Raw genomic sequence first — 21,016 nt, forward strand, 5'->3', positions numbered from 1 at the left:
AATTTTGTTTTTCCCTTTTTAAGAGTGTTAATCAATTTTAGGCTCAGAATAGATTGGGAATGGCACGCAAATTACCAAGACAATCCCCAAATGCTAAATTCTGAACATCTCCATCAACCTCAGAGCCTGAAATATGTGAAAATCAGAAACTCTGGCTGGCATGTCAGTGATCTATTAAAAATGCTATGGCTCTAAAATGAAAAGATAATGGCTTTATGAGGTTTGGAACAAGCAATTTGCCAGAGTCAGCCTCATGCTTAGGTGTTGAGTCCTTCCCAAGGTGATCAGAGACAGAGCATCAGTGCATTTCTGCAAAGTTACATGTTCCTCTAATCACAGCAATTTGTTAAATCCACAAGCATTAGTGGGTACCTACTATGCACCAGAAATATAGAAAAGAATAAGATGCGGCTCCTCTCCTCCTACCCCATTAAGAAAGGTTCAGTAGACAGACAAGTGAACAAAAAATGTCTTCCTCTTTCCTGTGGAAGTCAGGCTGTTTCTTAAGAGGAGTTGGCACTGCAGCTGAGTCCTGAAGTACGAACAGGAGTTGTGGCAAGATAGGTGGGAAGGAAATATCAGATGGAAGGAACAGAATAAGCAAAGACTCAAACACAGAAGAGGGGGCAAAGGGAACCAGAGGTGTGCTCTGCTACTTAGAGTTAAAGGAATAGCGAAGGTTTACGGGAATGCCAGTGACAAGACTGGAAGTAGAATCAAGAGCCAGAATATACAGGACTTCTTAATCGGGCTGTGGGTCTCAACACGATGCAAGCAAAATGGCACCACAAAAAAATTGTAAGGGGAAGAGATGACCAAAAAGGTTTCATTTGGTTGAAACCCCTCCAGCCTGACATAACCTTTAATATTTATTCAGCAGTGTCTTTTTAAAGCACATTCAAATATATTCTCTCATTTGAGCCTCTTAATTATCCCCATGAGTTTGGTATTTCATCCACCTTTTCTACTGATGAGAAAACAGGTCCAGCAGAGATGCGTGGTTTACTTTGTGTCTTTTGATCAGTAAGTGACAACAGGCAAATTTAAACCCCAGCCCATGGGGGTCTGAGTTCAGCCTTTACTTCACTGGGTAATGGAACTCTCTAGATGACAGCTACCATAGACCACTTTCAGATTATACACCAGGCCAATGCTCTCCAGCGTCTCCAGAAAGCCTTGGTGGTCAAAACTCACAGACCAAAGTGGATTTTGTGCACTCAAAGGGGTTACTTTAATACTTCGATAATAAAATCAGATTCTGCTGGCAAACAACTTCCTTACGCCCTACACATTTTCAGTTAGGAGCTGAGATTTCTGGCATTGCTACAGTCTGCTCAACCACAAGTAATAACGCTTCCAGCTAGAGGAGATCACGGAAGTGCCTCCCCTCCTGCCCATACCTTGAGCTCGTCTGCATTGTAGAAGTCCACACGCACAGCGGGCACCATCCAGGTCTGGAAGAGCGTGGCCAGGATCTGCTCCGCAATGGAGTCAGCAATAAGGTGGAAGTGCAGAGGGTTCCGTCTGTGGGGAGTGTGAGAAGGAAGGGTCAGGTGGAGAGGTACGGCTCTTTGAATTACAGCTGCAAAAACACACTCTTCACAGTTCCTACGGTGGGGCACGTTTCTAACGGCAATTGTGAAAGTAAATCTGGAATGTTACGAAAACAGTGCTCACTGGTGAGGCTGCAGGAGCTGAAAAGGAGAGAAGTCATCTCACCCAACCTCTGTGACTCAGAGAAGTGACAACCAACCACCAATCACTACTGACACCCAATTCAGGCCAAACGCCATACCTGTTATTAGGATTCATTTTTTTCTGAAAGCCGTAAGTAGAGCATGTGTTAACAATTTGGTCAACCTTTATATCTGACTTATCAGCCTTAACGCAGAAACACAACAATGTAGTGTAAGTTTTTTAGACTGGCTGCAGGCGGCTGGCAAGAGACTTCTCCAATAGCACAGTGTAAGTTCTGTCTTCTGCTTGTTCCTCTCCAAAAGAAAACCAGGCTTTAAGATGGAGTCATCGGGAGCTCCCATCACCCAGTAACAGCCTGTCCTCACTTTTAATATTTCTATAGCTTTTGTTCATCTGAAATAGACCACTTCCAGGTTGTATACTAAGCCAATGGCCTCCAGCCTCTACTGAAAGCTTTGGTGGCCAGAACTCAGACCAAAGTGGATTCTGTGCCAACCAAGCGGTTACTTTAATACTTTTGATAATAAAATCAGATTCTGGTGGCAAACAACTTCATTATGCCCTGAACACTTTCAGTTAGGAGCTGAGATGTCTGATGTTGCTTTTACTGAGGCAGCACCCGAAATACCAAGGAGCATTACGCAAGGGCAAAACTTCCGGAGTTAAATGGAAACAGGTTCCAAACCCAGGTCTGAAATGTATGAGTGGGAATCTTGAGCATGTCACTTACCCCTCTGCACTGCTATTTCTACATTCTGGAAAATGTGGAGAAAGACCTTCTCATCAGGCTGCTGTGTTGATTAAATAAAATAAGAAGTGCAAAATACGGCACATCAAAAATAAACATGGGATAATAATCAATAGCAGATGCGCCCTACTGGCTAGATACAAAGCAATACGTCAGTCAAGAACTACTAGCATAAATACTATTGTGCTACTACAAATAATGACATAAAGCGTAATGCCATGAATGAGTACCTACTAGAAATAAAGCACTGTGGGAAATACAAAGATGAGAATGACCCGGCCCGCTGACCTCAAAGAGCTCATACTGCTCAGAGACAGACGAGCGCAGTTAAATATAAGCACGGGGCGGAATGTGATAAGGACTACAAAAGAACACAAAGTTCCACGGGAGTAAGAGCAGCAGCCAATTCTGACAGGGTCAGAAGGACGTGTAAGAGGAGAGGGAAGCTGTGCCCTAAAGGGAAATGCAGGACTTTGACAAGAGAAGAAGGCAGAGGGGATGCAATCTGAGGAGAGCAACAGACAAAGGCTGGGCCCAGGGTGTATTAGGAGTGGGGGCCGGGGGCGGAGGGGCTTAGTAGGGCTCCAGGGTTGGAGCAGAGAAGGACATGAGAATGCAATGAAAGTTTAATTAAAACAGTTTGGACAGGGCACGGCGGCTCACGCCTGTAATCCCAGCACTTTGGGAGGCCAAGGTGGGTAGATAATGAGATCAGGAGATCGAGACCATCCTGGGTAACACAGTGAAACCCCATCTCTACTAAAAACACAAAAAATTAGCCTGGTGTGGTGGCACATGCCTGTAGTCCCAGCTACTTGGGAGGCTGAGGCAGGAAAATTGCTTGAATCTGGGTGGTGGAGGTTGCAGTGAGCCGAGATTGCACGACTGCACTCCAGCCTGGGTGATGGAGCGAGACCCCATCACAAAATAAATAAATAAAATAAAATGAAATAAAATAAAATAAAATAAAAATTAACAGACTAGACTTCAGGGAGGTGTGGGGGGCAGGATGACTGGCCTTTTAGCTCTCGGCCGTCGGCATGGTCACTCCCCACACCTGTCCTATGTTCCAGACATACAGACCATCTCTCAGTTTCCCGCCCCCTACCCCGTGCTCTCTCTCCACCCTGGGCCTTATCATATTTAGCTTGCTCTGCAGGCATCTGTCCCGCAGTTGCTCATTCAATAAATCCTCACTGAGTACACCCTATTTGTCAGGGGATGAGCTGGATGCTGGGGACACAGTGGTGAGTCAGACATACCCACACTGCCCCTGCTGTCATGGAGCTCACAGTCTTGCCCACCCTGCACCTCCACATTCAGCACTTGGTTATCTCTTAGTCTGCCTTAGGACCGCCATCATTTGCTCCTAGGATCCTTTCCTGACTACCCACATCTAGGTCAGGGGTCCTTCCTAACTGTTATCCCAGCCATACGTACCGGCCTACTCATCCTTATGTAGTGGTTGCCTGTCTACTTGTCTACACCCCCCATGTGAGCTCAGCAAGCTCAAGGATCACATCAGATACATTCAAATAGACAGGCCCATGATCTACAGCACAGTGCCTAGAAGAGAGTAGGAGTTGAATCAATGAACTGAATGGATAGATGGGAGATGAGGGGAACAGATGTAGACATGTCATTTAGGAGATCATTAGACTTGGTGGATGTGAAATGAGAATCCGATTAAGACAGTGTTGGCCAGGTGCCGTGGCTCATACCCGTAATCCTAGCACTTTGGGAGGCCGAGGTGGGCGGATCACCTGAGGTCACGAGTTTGAGTCCAGCCTGACCAACATGGCGAAACCCTGTCTCTACTAAAAATACAAAATTAGCCAGGCGTGGTGGCAGATGCCTGTAATTCCAGCTACTTGGGAGGTTGAGGCAGGAGCAGCACTTGAACCTGGGAGGCAGAGGTTGCTGTGAGCCAAGATCGTGCCATTGCACTCCAGCCTGGGCAACAAGAGCAAAACTGCATCTCAAAAAAAAAAAAAAAAAAAAAAAGTGTCTATCCCAGGAAGAGCAACAAGGAAGCTGGATCTAGAGGATTTCAGGAGAACAGATATTAGATATGAGAAAAAAAAGAGGGAGGAGCAGAAGGCAACACTGGGGTTCCTGGGTCAGCGGCAATGGCTCCAGGACAGGGAATACAATGAGAAAGGCACCTTGGAGGAGGACAGTGAGTCTGGGATTGGGCAACCAAGCTGAAGTCAGGGGTGGCAAAGCCAGTGCTGCTGCTGAATGGGTGGGTCTAGACCTGAAGAAAGAAATTTCTCAAGGCCAACCTGCCATACATGTAACAGGTGCCTAAGGGTAATAAACTGAATAAACGAATCAAAAAGCAGTCAGCACTGCAGAATTTCCCCATGGGACCCACTGCCTTTTAAAGACTGCAACTTTCCCATAAAATTATCTATGCTCACCATGCTCAGGGGAAAGGGGCATATTTTCCCTACAGCTTCCCTAAATGCCCTATAAGAAGCTGCCACTGGGCCTTGGTGATGCTTGGTGGCATGAAGGGACAATGCTGTGTTTGCCCACTGGCCAGTGGCTTACCTGAGGGCCAAGTCAGAGGCAGCAGGACAAAGTCACCAGGGAGACAGACGGTCCATTTGGCCCTCAGTGTTTCCACGACTGTCTCCCAAGGCCACAGTTGCCATAATGGATTCTTATTAACGGAGAATGGATAAAGGTAAGCCTATATCATGGTCAAGTTGCATGTTCATCTACAGTAGAGGGGCAGCTTAATTTTAGCCATGGGGTGACAATAATAAATGGACCAAGCTTCTTATATTTGCTCTAATGCATCATACTTTCCATATTTCTGTATCTTTGCTTGTGCTGTTCCCTCTCCATGGAATGCCCTTCCCTGCTTGGAAGCCCCATGAATTCCTGTTCATTCTTCAAAATTCCCTTTGTAAGTCATCTCCTCCTGGAAATCTTCTTTGAGCACTTCCTCGTGTCTTTCTTCTGCTAACTCTGCACCTTGTGTGAAAAGCTCATCCGCCATCTGTAGCAAGGCATTGTGATACGTATTTAAACTGCTGGCTCCTTGTCCCTACTGTGAGACCACAGACGACAGAAACCATCTTTTCATCCCCATCCACAGTATCCAGCAAAGAACCTGGTGAATCATGGGTCCTGAATAGATATTCCTGTAACAACAACAAAAAGCCAATGCCCCTCCTTGTATTATCACTGTAACCACCAGCATAGGAGGGCAGAAACAGTTGATGGCACACTTTGTATCAAGAGTTCGGAGTTTGGACTATGTTCCAGAATGCCTGGCTTGGCATCCCGGCTGCAGTACCTACTGAGTGACTGTAAGCAAGTCACTTCATCTCTCAAGGCCTAATTTTCTCATCTCCAAAGCAGGAAAGAGATAATGGGAAGCAAGGAATATTATACTGGATAATTGTGAGGATAAAATAACATAATAAACATAAAGTGCTTAGTAAAGTACTACCTGATATATGGTAAGATTTCAATACAGGTTATCTATTACCAATATTAACTTATGATACTGCTTTTTTTCTCTACTACTTTTGCATCGCGTTTTTGATGAAGTATTTTCAATTAGTTCTTCCAAGCACAGACAAAAAACGGGCTGAATGAATATCTAACAAAGAGCTATTAAGCAATAACTACATATAAGTTACAACAGGGATACAGGTGATGAATGAGCTACGAGTGTTCTCTACAGGCAGCTTACGATCTTGGAGAGTCAGAGGAAGACAGAATACAAAAAACTCCACAAACGTCAGAACATGGATGCGCCGCTGTGCTGGGCTGCCACCCACAACAGCTGAGCTTGGGAATGGCCCACTTCCCAGGGAGCCTTCCACATAAACCAACAGGTAATATGCAGGACACTCTCAGAGTTAGATTGAAAACAACCTGCACAACCATATATGACGACTCTACAAGGAGGAGCACAAAAGCTACATGGTGGTGAGGGTGAAAGAGATGACATTTTGGTAGTGAAGAATCTGGGAGGTTTCCATGAACTATGTGGCAATTAAATGGGAGCTCTAAATGGGCAGAGGAGGAGAAAGGGAGGCATTCAGCAGGGAAGTGCAGTTGACCGTTGAGTAACATGGGGTTGAACTGTATGGGTCCACTGACATATGGATTTTTTTCAACAAAATCTGGAATGGGAAACCCAGCTATACTGAGGGCTGATTTTTCCCACAGGCTGTGATACAGTTTGGATATTTTTCCCCATCCAAATCTTATGTTGAAACGTAATCCCCAATTTTGGAGGTGAGGCCTGATGGTTAGTGTTTGGGTCATGGGGGCGGATCCCTCATGGCTTGGTGCTGTCCTCATGATGTGAATTTTCTCAAGATCTGGTTGTTTAAAAAAAGAGAAACTCTTTTTTTAAGAAGTTTTTTTTAAGAGTTTTTAAGAGTTTAAGAAAAAAAGAGTTTCTCTTTTTTTAAACACTTTCTCTTGCTCCCACTCTCCTCTTGCATGTGATGTACCTGTTCCTGCTTCACCTTCTGCCATAAGTAAACACTCCTTGAGGTGTCCCTAGAAGCCAAGCAGATGCTGGTGCCATGCTTGTACAGCCTGCAGAATCATGAGCCAATTAAACCATTTTTCTTTATAAATTATCCAGTCATAGGTGTTTATAGCAAGGCAAGAACAGCCTAACACAGAAAAATTGGTACCAGGAGTGAGATACTACTATAAACATATATGAAAATATGGAGGCAACTTTGGAGCTGGGTAACATACAGGGGCTAAGAGTTTGGAGGGCTCAGAAGAAGATGGGAAAGTCTGGAACTTCTTATAGACTGGTTTAATGGTTGTGACCAAAATGCAGATAGTGATAAGGACACTGAAGTCCAGTCTGACAAGTTCTCAGATGCGAATGAGGAACTTATTGGGAACTTGATTAAAGGTCACCCTTGATGTGCCTTAGCAAAGAATGTGACTGTATTGAGTCCATGCCCTAGAGATCTGTGGAAGTTTTAACTTAAGAGTGACAACCTAGGGTATCTGCCAGAGGACATTTCTAAGCAGCAAAGTGTCCAGATGGAGGAGCAAAGCAATGATCTAAAAGTTGGAACTTAAAGAGGGAAGCAGGGTGTAAAAATTTGGAAATTTCGTAGCCTAACCATGTGGAAAAGAAAGAAAAGGCTTTATAGGGTGGTGGTGGGTGGTGGGGGAGAAGAACCCACAACTTGCTAGAGATATTAGCATAACTAAAAAGGGGCCAGGTACGACAGCCAAGACAATGGGAAAAAGGCCCTGAAGGCATTTCAGAAGTCTTCCAGGCTGCCCCTCCCATTACAGGCCCAGAGGCCTAGGAAGAAAGAATGGTTTCCTGGGCCAGGGCCAGGACACCATTGCCCTGCACCACCCCAAAAGGCTGCTCTTTGCATTGTGGCCTCTCCAGTTCCAGCCTCAGCCCAAAGGGCCCAAGATACATCTCAGGCTGCAGCTTCAGAGAGTGCAAGCTATAAACCTTGGCAACTTCCATGGGGTGTTAAGCCTGTCAGGACGGAGAGTGCAAGAGTGAAGGAGGCTTGACAGCCTCTACCAGATTTCAGAGAATGTATAAGAAAGCCTGGGTGCCCATGCAGAAGCCTGCTACAGGGGCAGAGCCCACCAGAGATGTTCTATTAGGGCAGTGCTTAGGTTATATGTGGGGTTGGAGACCCCACACAAAGTCCCCTCTGGGACACTGCCTAGCAGAGCTGTGGGAAGGGGGCCACTATCGTCCACATTCTAGAATGGTAGATCCACTGGCGATGTGCACCTTTGTGCTTGGAAAAGCAACAGACACTCAACTCCAACCCATGAGAGCAGCTGCAGGGGCTGTACACTGCAAAGCCACAGGAGTGTTCCTGCCCAAGGCTTTGGGAGCCTGCCCATTGCACCAGTGTGCCCTAGGTATGGGACATGGAGTCAAGAATTATTTTGGAGCTTTAAGACTTAATGACTGCCCTGCTGGGTTGCAGACTTGTGTGGGGGCCTGTAGCACCTTTCTTTTGGCCAGTTTCTCCTTTTGGGAATAAGAGTGTTGACCTCATGCCTGTACCACCATTGCATCTTGGAAGTAAATACTGCGTTTTGATTTTACAGGCTCACAGGTAGAAGGAACTCATCTTCAGATGGGACTTTGAACTTGGGACTTCTGAGTTAAAAATGGAATGAGTTAAGACTTTGGGAGGCTAGTGAGAAACAATGATTGTAGTTTGAAATGTGAGGAGGACATGACATTTCGGGGGCCAGGAGAGGAATGATATAGTTTGGATATTTTTCCCCCACTCAAATCTCATGTTGAAAGGTAATCCCCAGCGTTGAAGGTGGAGCCTGGTGGAAGATGTCTGGGTTATGGGGGTGGATCCCTAATGGCTTGGTGCTGTCCTCACAATACTGAGTGAGTTCTCATGTGAGCTGGCTGTTTAAAGATTGTGGCACCTCCCACCCTCTCTCTTGCTCCTACTTTCACCATGTGATGTGCCTGCTCCTTTTTTGCCCTTCTGACATAAGTAAATGCTCCCTGAGGCCTCCCCAGAGGCCGAGCAGATGCTGGCACCATGCTTGTGCAGCCTGCAGAACTGTGAGCCAATTAAATCTCTTTTCTTTCTAAATTGCCCAGTCTTAAGTTTCCCCCCACCCACCCCCAGTGAAAGAGTTTCGCTCTTATTGCCCAGGCTAGAGTGCAGTGGCATGGTCTTGGCTCACTGCAACCTCCACCTCCCGGGTTCAAGCTATTCTCCTGCCTCAGCCTCCCATGTAGCTGGGAATACAGACACCCACCACCATGCCCGGCTAATTTTTGTATTTTTAGTAGAGATGGGGTTTCACCACATTGGCCAGGCTGGTCTTGAACTCTTGACCTCAAGATCTGCCTGCCTTGGCCTCCCAAAGTGCTGGGATTACAGGCATGAGCCACAGCACCCAGCCTCAGTTGTTTCTTTATAGCAACACAAGAACAGTCTAACAGGGATAGGTGACATAGGGCTAACTACAGGACTTGAATATGTGCAGATTCTGGATATGTGGGTTGCCTGGAACCAATCCCCTCTATATACCAAGGGACAACTCTGATAGAGTAAGAAAGGAACAAAGGTGGTAAAGTACAGAGCAGGTCTGTGAAAGAACAATAGTCATATTTGGGTGGATCATACAACAACATTTACTGCACACCTACTTAATGCCAGAAATAGGGAGGATAAAAAGAAAAAAAGAGAGACCACGTCTACAGGACAGACTGGGCTAGAATGTGTGAGTTCCTAGGAACTGCAAACTTCATTCTCTAAGAGAAACAGCCAGACAAGGTTTGGAGGCTCAGCAGGCAGCAAATAGAAGTTATAATTCTGGGAAGTTTTAACCTGGTTACAGAGCAGAAGGTGGACCAGTGTGGGGTAAGAGGAGCAAGCCCTTAAAGAAAGATGCTACAAACATTAGGATGGGGCTTCCTCCTTCAATCTTCTTCTGCCTCTGGTCTATTTAAAGCTTCTGTCCAGAAGGCAGAGTAAATCCAGAAAGAAACCTCACCCTCACCTTTATGGCAATACTAGGTGTCTGCATTGTCAAAGGGAATAGTGGGTTTCATTAGCTTGCCTGAGAATATACAAATGCTTAATCAGAAAACACATGAGCCCCTCAGCCCAGGTGACAACCAAGACCTTGGCAGTTTGCTGATATTGTCTCAGCAATCAAAGGCGGGCTAACTATCAGCAGCTTGTGTCTGACTCCTATCAGACAGCATGCTTGAGGGGTTCCATTAATGTTCCACTTTGGGTACCATCATAAGAATTTGGGCCCAGACTGCAGTTCCTGATAGTGGCCTTTTCCTTTTAGGCTCACCAAACCATGGCACAAGCACATGAAAATACTGCCCAGACCACCTTTCTTGGAGCTTCTGTGTAAGCCGAAATAGTTCCCCTGAGCTTTAACCTGTAAATCTGACTGTCAACCAGATGGCCCCACTTTCACATCCCACAGGTCCCTGGGAATCAAGAAGCACCCAATTACAATTCTACTACACACAAGTTTCTTCTATTTTTGGAAACAGAGTTTTCACTCTTTTTGCCCAGGCTGGAGTGCAATGGCGCGATCTTGGCTCACCACAACCTCCGCCTCCTGGGTTCAGGAGATTCTCCTGCCTCAGCCTCCTGAGTAGCTGGGATTACAGACATGTGCCATCACGCCCGGCTACTACACACCAAGTTTCTAATGATTTGTGGAGTGTTTGTCTGGGACCTGTCTCTTCTTTAGAATTTAAGCTCCTTGGGGACAGAGACTGGGTCTTGCATTCACTGCTGCATCCTAGCTCCCAGAGCACCACCTGACACAGTAAGGAGGGGCTTTTGTTTATTCTGCAGGACTGCATGGATGAGTGGCTTCCTCAATTTCCAAAACAGAAATCAGTTTTCCCTCTCCTGGCCCCTTACACAGGTTTCCCCTTGAATTTCCTGCCTGCGTTAAAGGTGCCTCATTCACCCAGCCTCATAAGCTAGAAATGGGGGTATGCCCTGGGCCCCCCACCCAGCTGTATGCCACACACTCAATCAACCTCAAGTCCTGAAAGGCAGCTTAGCTTAATGGTTAGGAGCTGGGTCTTGAAAGCAAAACTGCCTGTTTTTTTTTTCTTAACGTGGTTCTGTCATGAACAAATGTTGAACCTTGGGAAAGCTTCTTCACCTCTGAGTCTCAGTTTCCAAATCTTCAAAATGGGCTTGATCACAATAGCTCCTACCTTACAGTTATTGTCAGATCGATTGAGCTAAAACATATGCAGCACTTACAACAAGGACTGGCAGGAAGTGAGGACTTAGTAAATGTTAGCCTCATTATCCTATCCAACCTTGGGGACATCTCATGAAAATATTCACTCTTTTTTCTCATGAATATATTCACTGTTTTTCTGACTCTCTAACTCACTCTGATATATCCTCTAGCCCCTAAGCCATACACTTGCTCTAATGTAATCACACAGCCCCTTGCTCACTGTACAATATATAAGCCCCAGCCTCTCGCATGGAGCAAAAAAGACCTTCAACGATCTCACCCTATCTGTCCCTCAAAGCTCATATCTTCACACCCCTTCCTTAAACCCTGCACTCCAGCCATTTCTCCCTCAGTTCTGCCTGTGACCAGCTCCTGCTCCTCCTGCAGGAATAAAGTCAACAGCCACATTCCCGGGGAAACCTTCCACAGTCACCCCATCCAACGCAGCCCCATCTCCCCCATCACTCTCCATCCCACTGTCCTGTCAGATTTCTTCCTAGCATTTATTATCACTGGAAATCTCCATGTTAACCTCCAAGACTACCTCCTACCCTCCATGAGACTGTCAGCTGTGGAGGATAGCGCTTCTCCAGCTTCACAAAGTACCTCCTCTCTTGTTTACTCTCTACAACCCCAGCGCTTAGAGAGCATCTAGCTGGTCTCGGGTGCAGTTCCAGGGTTGAGCATGCTCTCCTGGCAGGCTTGTGCCCATGCTGTCGCCTTTTCCTGGACCATCTACGCTTCACCCCGCTAACTGCGTCTGGCCTTCTGTTCTCAAGTTAGACACCACAGTTCTGAGGAGGCCATTCCACGGTGTCAGACGCCCTTCTTAGTGGCTCCAGCTGAGTCTGTGCTCAAACCTTAGTTCAGATCTTTGAAATAATCGACTATTTACTTCTTCTTTGTTCCCTGCTAGATGGAATCTTAGCATGGATGCTTTATTTTGTTAAGAATCTTATACCTAGATTTTTTTTTTTACAGCCCCTTACAGGTAGAAATACTCAGTGATTGTTTAAGGAAAGAATGAATAAATGAACACATGAATAATTACCAAAAAGATCCAAATGCCCTCAGTTTGACGCAATTACCAAAGAGATTCAAATGCCCACAGCTTGACATAATTACCTGGAAGTTAGGTACAGAGGCACTTAGAAAAAAATGCAGGAGCAAATCTTTTAACATTGGGTTAGGTAATTGTTTCTTAGATATGGTCCCTGAAGCACAAACAATGAAAGAAAAAACAGATTTCACTGAAATAATTTTTAAAAAACCCTTTCTCTTTTTCTGCTGTCTGCCATGTGAAGACACAGCAAGAAGGTGGCCATCTGCAAACCAGGAAAAGGGTCCATTCCTACCAGATCCCGATCTCAGACCAGCACCCTGATCTCAGACTGCCCCAACTTCAGAACCATATGAAATAAATTAGTGTTAAGGAAAAACAAAAAAAAAAAAAAAAGGAAGAAACTTTGTGCTTCACAGGACATGATCAAGAAAGTGAAAAACTACCAGAGTGGGAGATAATATTTTCAAGCATATATTTGATAAGCAACCTGTATCCACAATATATAAAGATACTTTACAGCTCAAACAATAAAAGGACAAGTAAGCCAATAAAAATTGAGCAAAGGATTTAAATAACCATTTCTCAAAGAAGATATACAAATGGCCAACAAGCACACGAAAAGACATTCAATATCATTAATCATTAGGGAAATGCATATCAAAACCACAATAAGCCACTTACCCACTAGAATGGCAAAAATAAAAAAGATATATAACAAACAGTGATTAAGAATTTGCAGATATTGGAACCCTCAATGGTTACCGGTGGAACTGTAAAATGAAGCAGCTGGTAGGAGAAACAGTTTGGCAATTTCTCAAAAAATTAAGCATAAAAATAAAAATATCTATAAAAATATGAAAACAGATGTCAACACAAAAGCTTATACAGAACATTCTTAGCAGAATTGTTCATAATAGTCAAGAAGTGGATGGCCGGGCACTGTGGCTCATGCCTGTAATCCCAGCACTTTGGGAGGCTGAGGTGGGTGGACCACCTGAGGTCAGGAGTTCAAGACCAAGCTGGCCAACATGGCGAAACCCTGTCTCTCCCAAAAACAAAAAAATAAGAAAATTTAAAAAATTAAAAAATTAGCTGGGCATGGTGGCAGGCACCTGTAATTCCAGCTACTTGGGAGGCTGAGGCAGGAGGATTGCTTGAACCCAAGAGGTGGAGGTTGCAGTGAGCCGAGATCACACCATTGCACTCCAGCCTGGGCAATGGAGCAAGACTCTGTCTCAAAAGAAAAAAAAAAAGAAGTGGAAAAAACTGAAATGGCCATCAGCTGATGAATGGATAATACAATGGGGTATATTCATACAATGGAATATTTGTGGGTAATTAAAATAAATGAAGAACTGATACATGCTACATCAGGGATGAACTTTGACAACATTCTGCCATATGAAAAAAAGCCAGTCCAAAAGACTAAATACTGTATGATTTCACTTTCATGAAATGTCCAGAACAGGCAAATCCAAAAAGACAGAAAGCAGATTAGTGGTTGGTATGGGATGGGAAGAGGAGGAAATGAGTAGTATTGGGGCTGGGGATTTCTTTTTAAGGTTATAAAAATGCTCTGATATTAAATACTGAGGATAGTTGCACAATTCTGTGAATTTACTAAACAACCACTAAATTGTACACTTTTAAAGAGCAAATTTTATCATATTTACTTATTCATCTCAGAGGAATAGGCAAATATTGGAATGTTGGTCTGACCTGTGTATTTGGGAGAGGGAAGGAGGCCTGCTCTGCTTCTGTTTCTGGGCTTCCTTCCCTAGGGGGATGTGCTAAGCAGTAAATGGTGTGCCCATGTGGGAAACCCCGCAATTGTCCAGGCTGGCCTCTGACCGGGAGGTAAGTCCAATTCATGGAGACATAAGTGAGAGCTCTATTTGTGGCCACAGTTGAAAGAACATCCTATACTCAAGACTAACGGCCATAAAGGAGGCTTATTTCATTCTTTATATGCGTGACTTCTGAGCCTTATTTCACATTTGGTTCCTAACTCAGGAAGGTAAGAAATAGTTTTAATGACAGAGCCCTGCAAATTCCAAAATCAGCCAAAGCCTATGAGTCTACATCCTATTCTCTTTTGTTCAAAGGGAGATTAGCAAGAGTTAGACAGATGTTAAGGACATATTTACACCAAAGAGAATTTCGCCAACTGCAGATAATAAAAACTCATTCAGAGGAATAATTTTCTCAATATATGATTCAAGGCTATTTAGTTTTATATTTGTATAACATCTAAAATAGTCTTTTATGCCAGCTACCAGTTATAAATACACTTGCGAGCACTGCCTGAGGCCCCTTAGAAAAAGCTTCTGCCTGGCCAGGCCAGCTTGGGTACACATCTTAATACAGAGTGGTCCCACATAGCATGCCTGGGTTACTGCAACCCACATATTGCTGCAGACATCAAGTGTGGTCCACAGACAGACCAGACCACAATTCTACACCAAAGAAGGAAGCAAGTATGTGCTTCCTCTCCAGCAGAGCCTGCAGACTTCACTCTTAATGAGCAACGCTTCTGCTCCCTCTGGTTTCCTTAACTGCTCCCTTGTTCCAGGCTGAGATGCAATAAATATGGTACTACAAAGAGGCAAAGATGATTAAGCCATTGCTTTCTTCCTGCCTTCCTTATTTTGTCAGGAATGTGCCACAGTCCCTCCAAGGCAATCTAGGGCCTGTTTTCATTAAAATATACAAGGACATTTGAGCTGAAATAATCTTTAATTATTAAATTTACAATGCAATGGCAAACTTAGGAAAAGAAAGCGCGTGTGACAGCAACCTGAATTCTCAGTGAATCTGTTGCACTTACAGATTTAATAGGACTCATTTCAGAAAATCACCGCAGCCAGAATGAGAGTTTTTCAGTGAGTCCTTCATTTGAGAGTGGCCAAGTGCCTTTGATGATATGGGAAGATTCAAGGACAAGTCAGTGCCATATCAGAAAAGCTTTCCAAAAGAGAAGAACAGAGCAACTTTCAAGAAAAATCAAAAGGCCTTGTAATGCAGTAAAAGCAGCATGGATTGTAGGGGCTGGCAGAGTCCAGGTTGGAGACTGATTCATCTGTGACCTTGAACAAACTATTTAACTTCCCTGAGCCTTGGTTTCCTCATCTGTTTATGGGGATAATGGCACCAGGTCGGGATAACATTCAAATACAATAGCCCATGTGAAGCTTAACATCTGCACTATAAAAAGCAGTTCCTTTTGGTTTTAATATTTATGGGTATGACCAAATACCATTGATCTCTTACCTGTTCAAAGATATCACGTGCCTATGCTATTTTCTTAAGACTTAACTAGAAATACTGATGCCCAGGCCTTTAAAACCTGTATTGATTCTACACTTAACACCTCAAAAATACATACCTGGAAGGGGTGAGAATTGATAGAGGCAAAAGGCAGACAAATGCCTAGGCAGAAAGGAACAGGTCCCCAGTGAAATCCAACCTTCAAGCCAGAAACAGTCCTGGGTAAATTCTGGAACTGGATTGAGAACCCGCCTTCCTGTTTGGTGTGATTTCCCCTAATTAATCCACATCCTTCACCTATTTTACACATAACTACCCTTTCCTAATCGGTTTTCTACACTATCATGCCCACCTTTGTGTGGTGTCTTTGCTTTAACCTCTTTTGCATAGTCACAAACTAATCAGCATGCACTTCCTATTCTGAGCCCATAAGAAGCCTTGAGCTCAGCTATATTGGGAACTCTCCTGCCTTTGAGTAGGGGGACCACCCCGCATCCTCTCCCCACTAAAAGCTGTTTCATCACTCAATAAAACTTCCCATCTTGCTCATTCTTTGAGTGTCCGTGTGCCTAATTCTTCCTGGTCACGAGACAAGAACCCAGACCTAGCTGAGCTAAGGAACAAAAAATCCTGCATCAAAATGATTATGGAGATCACAACGTCTACACTATCACCCAGAATGAAAATTAAAAGTAAAAGTAAGAATAATGAGACCGGGCACAGTGGCTCACACCTGTCATCCCAGCACTCTGGGAGGCTAAGGCAGGCAGATCACTTGAAGTCAGGAGTTCGAGACCAGCCTGGCCAACGTGGCAAAACCCCATCTCTACTAAAAATACAAAAATTAGCCAGGTGTGGTGGCAGGCACCTGTAATCCCAGATAGTTGGGAGGTTGAGGAAGGAGAATTGCTTGAACTTGGGAGGCAGAGTTTGCAGTGAGCCGAGACTGCGCCACTGCACTCCAGCCTGGGTGACAGAGTGAGACTCTGTCTCAAAAAAAAAAAAAAAAAGAAAAAAAGAAAAAAGAAGCATGATACTAAAAATGAGAACTTCTTTTTGTTGAGAAGCTCAGATTCTGAAGCTAGATTGCCTGGTTTCCAACTAGGCTCTGCCCATCTTCTCACTGAGACCTTGAGCCACGACTTACCATCTTGTTCTTTAGTTTAACTCTGAGTAAAATGGACATCATAATAGTGCTCACCTCCTGAAGGCATATGAGGAATCAATGCATTACCATCTGGAAAACACTTGGAACAGACCCTGATACAGAGCAAGAGCTACATTTGTATTTGTTAAATAAATAAAATACAGACAAGTATTACATACAGCCTATATTCCCATATTCAAAACGGGGCTCTAAGGCAGGTTGAGAAACAAGCCAAAGCTCCAAGATGTAGAGGCACGTGCTTAGGGTCACCCAGCTCAGGCCTGGTAGGAGCAGAACCAGAACCCAGGCCTGCTTCTTTGTTTTATTCAAATCCTATGCACAACTCAGACAGTTCTACAATGAATTCAAGCCTGAATAAGGGATAAGACAATTAAAGGCAGATACTGGTCACGAATATGCTCTTTTATTCACCACGTCCTTCAGGGGCACAAGTGAAGTTTAAAAAAACAAAACCAAAAACAACTACTTGATATGCAAAGTAAGGCAAATAACCCAGCTTCATCCTGCCAACAAGGCTGTAGAGTGTGAAAGCAGATCATGCTAGCAAACAAATATTAAATTTTTACAAGCTGATCCACTTTCCTGCCCAGGAGGTAAACACTTAGTTGCTAAATAAATATTTCTTTTCTCTGCTCCCTAAGAGTTTAGTTTCCTTGAAGAGCAGCAATATTTCCCCGTTTATCTGCAACTGGGATTGGAGTCACAGGCATTCCCCCCAATTTTCCTCTGAATAGCCTGCCGTCTAGGTGATACAGACGTGTATTGTGCTATTTTCTACTGGGTAACAAACAAACCTTTGTCATTTATAATTTGTATATATTTTTCTCATCCATCTTTCTTCTTCACCATAGAGGTTGCATGCTGACACAACCAAAAATATATGTAACACTGAAAACAAAAACAAGATTACGCCCAGGCATGGTGGCTCACACCTGTAACCCCAGCTCTTTGGGAAGCCGAGGCAGGTGGATCATCTGAGGTCAGGACTTCCAGACCAGCCAGGCTAACATGGTAAAACCCCATCTCCACTAAAAAAAATTAGCCGGGCGTGGTGGTGCATGCCTATAGTCCCAGCTACTCAAGAGGCTGAGGCAGGAGAATTGCTTGAACCCAGGAAGTGGAGGTTTCAGTGAGCTGAGATTGCATCAAGATCAGGCCACTGCACTCCAGCCTGGATGACAGGACAAGAATCTGTCTCAAAAAAAACAAGATTACCTTTATTTCTACCACCCAAACACAAGACGCAAAAGTCCTATTTCTTATGTATTTTCTGCTAGTCTGCATTTTGACCCTGTATATGTGTACATGTCACATATAGGCATGTGTGTGTATACTGAAATATATACGATGCATCCCATTTTAAATTATATTTTCACTTATTTTATATAAGCATTGCTTCATGGTATGCCATACTTTTCAAAACTGAGTACATGGTTTACCATAAGAGAATGTTCCATTATTTATTCTGTTCTTAAGTATTATCCAATTTTATAATTATAAAGCAATATTTTATAAAAGGTTTTTCTATTGTTAGGGTTCTCTTTTTAAGGGAGAGTCCCTACGGTGGTCATACTGGGTCAAGGTCTTCCCACATTGTATTAATTTCTCTCCAACAGGTCGCAGCAATTGTCAGCGTTGGCATTAGTGTGCAAGTGTGTCTATATTACTCTTTTACTATCTTTTGAAATATGTCATCAAGCATATGGCAGAAGTAAAACTGATTTGATGTAATGAAGCAAGCCTTAAATGAAAATTTGCACCAAATCTTGTCTGGAAAATAAATCTAATTACTATAATTAACAGTGAAAGCCAAAAGAAGCATCCTGCACCACTATTATTATATTATTATTAACATTAGTAAGGTACTTCATTTGTCAATGTATTTTATAACCATGTATTAGTTAATCCCCATAATGTGCTTGGGAAGCAATGAAGCTATTTATAGCTGGACTTTCTGAGCCGAAAGTCTTTCAAAAGTCCTTTTGTCTTGTATCTCAACTCATCACCAGCATATCAATTCACAGAATCATTCCCATTTGTATAATTTCAGGGATGACAGGAACTTCTGTGGTAATTTGGTCCAAGGTGGTCAGTAGTCATTAAAATGGTGTATGGTAAACGCACCTGACAGCAATAACTTAAGCATACCCTGAGAATGACCCTGTTTGACAGACGTACCTGAATGTATGTTCTGAACTGGAGAATCCAGGAAAGGCCAACCTGGAGATTCATTCCTTGTCTATAAGAAACATCTGAGCTCCCAAACTGTCCCATGGAATACAAGCCATACAGGGAATTGAGGCCCTGAGTTTTGGGATGATTGAAGTGGTGCTACTTGGCAACCTCCTGGTGCCACCCCCACTGGAGGTTGTTAGGGAAAGGGTGCTGATATGGTTAGGCTTTGTGTCCCCACCCAAATCTCATTTCGAATTGTAATTCCTATAATCCCCATAATCCCCATGTGTCAAGGGAGAGACCAGGTGGAGGTTACTGAATTATGGAGGTGGTTTCCCCCATGCTGTTCTCATGATAGTGAGCGAGTGAGTTCTCACCAGATCTGATGGCTTTCTAGGGGGATCTTCCCCCTTCACTCAGCACTTCTCCTTCCTGCCATCTTGTGAAGAAGATGCCTTGCTCCCGCTTCACCTTCCGCCATGATTATAAGTTTCCTGAGGCTTCCCCAGCCATGCTAAGCTGTGAGTCAATTAAACCCCTTTCCTTTACAAATTGCCCAGTCTCAAGCAGTTCTTTATAGTAGTATGAAAATGGACTAACACAGGTGCTAAGCCAAAATGTTATATAAACTGCATGCCTTTCATAAGTAGTTGCAGTTTTCCTGCCCAACCTGCTGCCACTGGGTCCTGGGGTTCTCCTGACCAGCCTGTTGCCACTGGGCTGTACGTAAGGCAGATCTGTCCAGCCCGCTGCCACTGGAATCTCTCCCCATATATGTAAGCCCCCAGTTAAACCCAACGTCTCATTTGCTGGCCCTGGGTTTCTTCTTTGGCCTCCTGAACCTAGTGCCATGCCCACTGGAGTAGACAGGGGCTCAGCATAACAAATGGGATGCAGAATTTTCGTAGCACATACTAAGGATTTGCTTTCTTCTCAAGTCCTCACGCCGTCTTAAAAGTACGACATGCCATCAGCAGCTAATAATATTACTACCGCTATTTTTTAATTTAACATCTTTGTGCTGCACAGTTACTGTAGGAGTAAAAGTTTACACCCAACAGGATTCTTACAATTTCAACAACTATTAGATTATCTGATTTGCAGCTAGGGCAACAGGAATAAAATTTATACACAACACCAGAGGTTTTTATGACCTTTAACTTTGCCATAATTGAGAAATAGCGTAATTGAATACCTGTACATCATGCAAAGGCCCTTTTCTAGAAAGTGGGCTTTTTTTTTTTTTTTTTAAACCAGGGAGAGACCTGATACGTCATGGCAACAAGTAGTAAATACATAAAAGTCTGAAGACCACTCATCTCATTCAATGCTTAGTGTACAAAATGCCTGGTTTTAAGCCACAGGATGAAGGCCGTAGTACTGAAAGGAGCCTTCAAAACTGCAGAGAAACAATAACAATGTGGAAAGGGCATCTCACCTCAGGTCAGAAGACAGTAGGTCAAGCCCCATTTGGCCATTCTTTCTTTGGTGTTTCCATTTCCTCTTCAAATATACAACTGAAATCATAATTCCAACTGGACAGCGCTATGAGGAAGAACTGACAGCCTCTACGGTGAACTGTTATCTATTTGTTGATTGCTTACTTCTCCTATCCACTTCTCCATTCAGGATGGGCAGTGAATTTGACGCTTGCTAACTTGCCAGCTTGCTGCAGGCACGTAAGTGGCCCAGCAGAAGAACCGTACAGGTCAGCCCAGTAGAAACAACTGAACTAATAAGTAAATGTTTCAGACCATTAAGTTTTAGGGTGAACTGACACACAGCAAAAGTTAACTGATTTAAAAAAAAAAAAAAAAAAAACCTAAAGTCTAAAGAGTTAAAATGGCTGGGGGCGGTGGCTCACACCTGTAATCCCAGCACTTTGGGAGGCCAAGGTGGGTGGATCACCTGAGGTCAGGAGTTTGGGACCAGCTGGCCAACATGGAGGAACCCAGTCTCTACTAAAAATACAAAAATTAGCTGGGTGTGGTGGCAGGCGCCTGTAATCCAAGCTACTTGGGCAGCTGTGGCAGGAGAATCGCTGGAATCCAGGAGGCAGAGGTTTCAGTGAGCCAAGATCATGCCACTGCACTCCAGCCTTGGCGACAAGAGCAAAACTCCATCTCAAAAAAAATAAAATAAAAAA

The 21,016-nt window shown here is 43.9% G+C and overlaps 1 protein-coding gene across 22 annotated transcripts in view, besides 1 other annotated feature; it reads right to left on the reverse strand.

The window, feature by feature from the left end:
• LARGE1 (LARGE xylosyl- and glucuronyltransferase 1) overlaps window positions 1–21,016 on the reverse strand; it is an 856,162-nt gene that overhangs the window by 536,372 nt on the left and 298,774 nt on the right. For all 22 annotated transcript variants that reach the window (XR_007067993.1, XR_002958722.2, XR_007067994.1 and 19 more), the window contains one exon: window positions 1,401–1,524. Coding sequence is in view for 19 of the 22 variants with exons in the window: in XM_024452302.2 (XP_024308070.1) it covers window positions 1,401–1,524 (124 nt within the window). In the remaining 3 variants the exon portion in view is untranslated. The remainder of the gene's footprint in view (window positions 1–1,400; window positions 1,525–21,016) is intronic.
• Window positions 19,229–19,404: a silencer, noted in NCBI's record as "fragment chr22:34018247-34018422 (GRCh37/hg19 assembly coordinates)". NCBI's record gives its function as "represses an EF-1alpha promoter that drives an FKBP-Casp9 reporter gene in an ReSE screen in K562 erythroleukemia cells {active_cell/tissue: K562}" and the evidence as "EXISTENCE:reporter gene assay evidence [ECO:0000049][PMID:32094911]".

Source organism: Homo sapiens, chromosome 22, assembly GCF_000001405.40.
Source record: "Homo sapiens chromosome 22, GRCh38.p14 Primary Assembly".
Taxonomy (NCBI): Eukaryota; Metazoa; Chordata; class Mammalia; order Primates; family Hominidae; genus Homo; species Homo sapiens.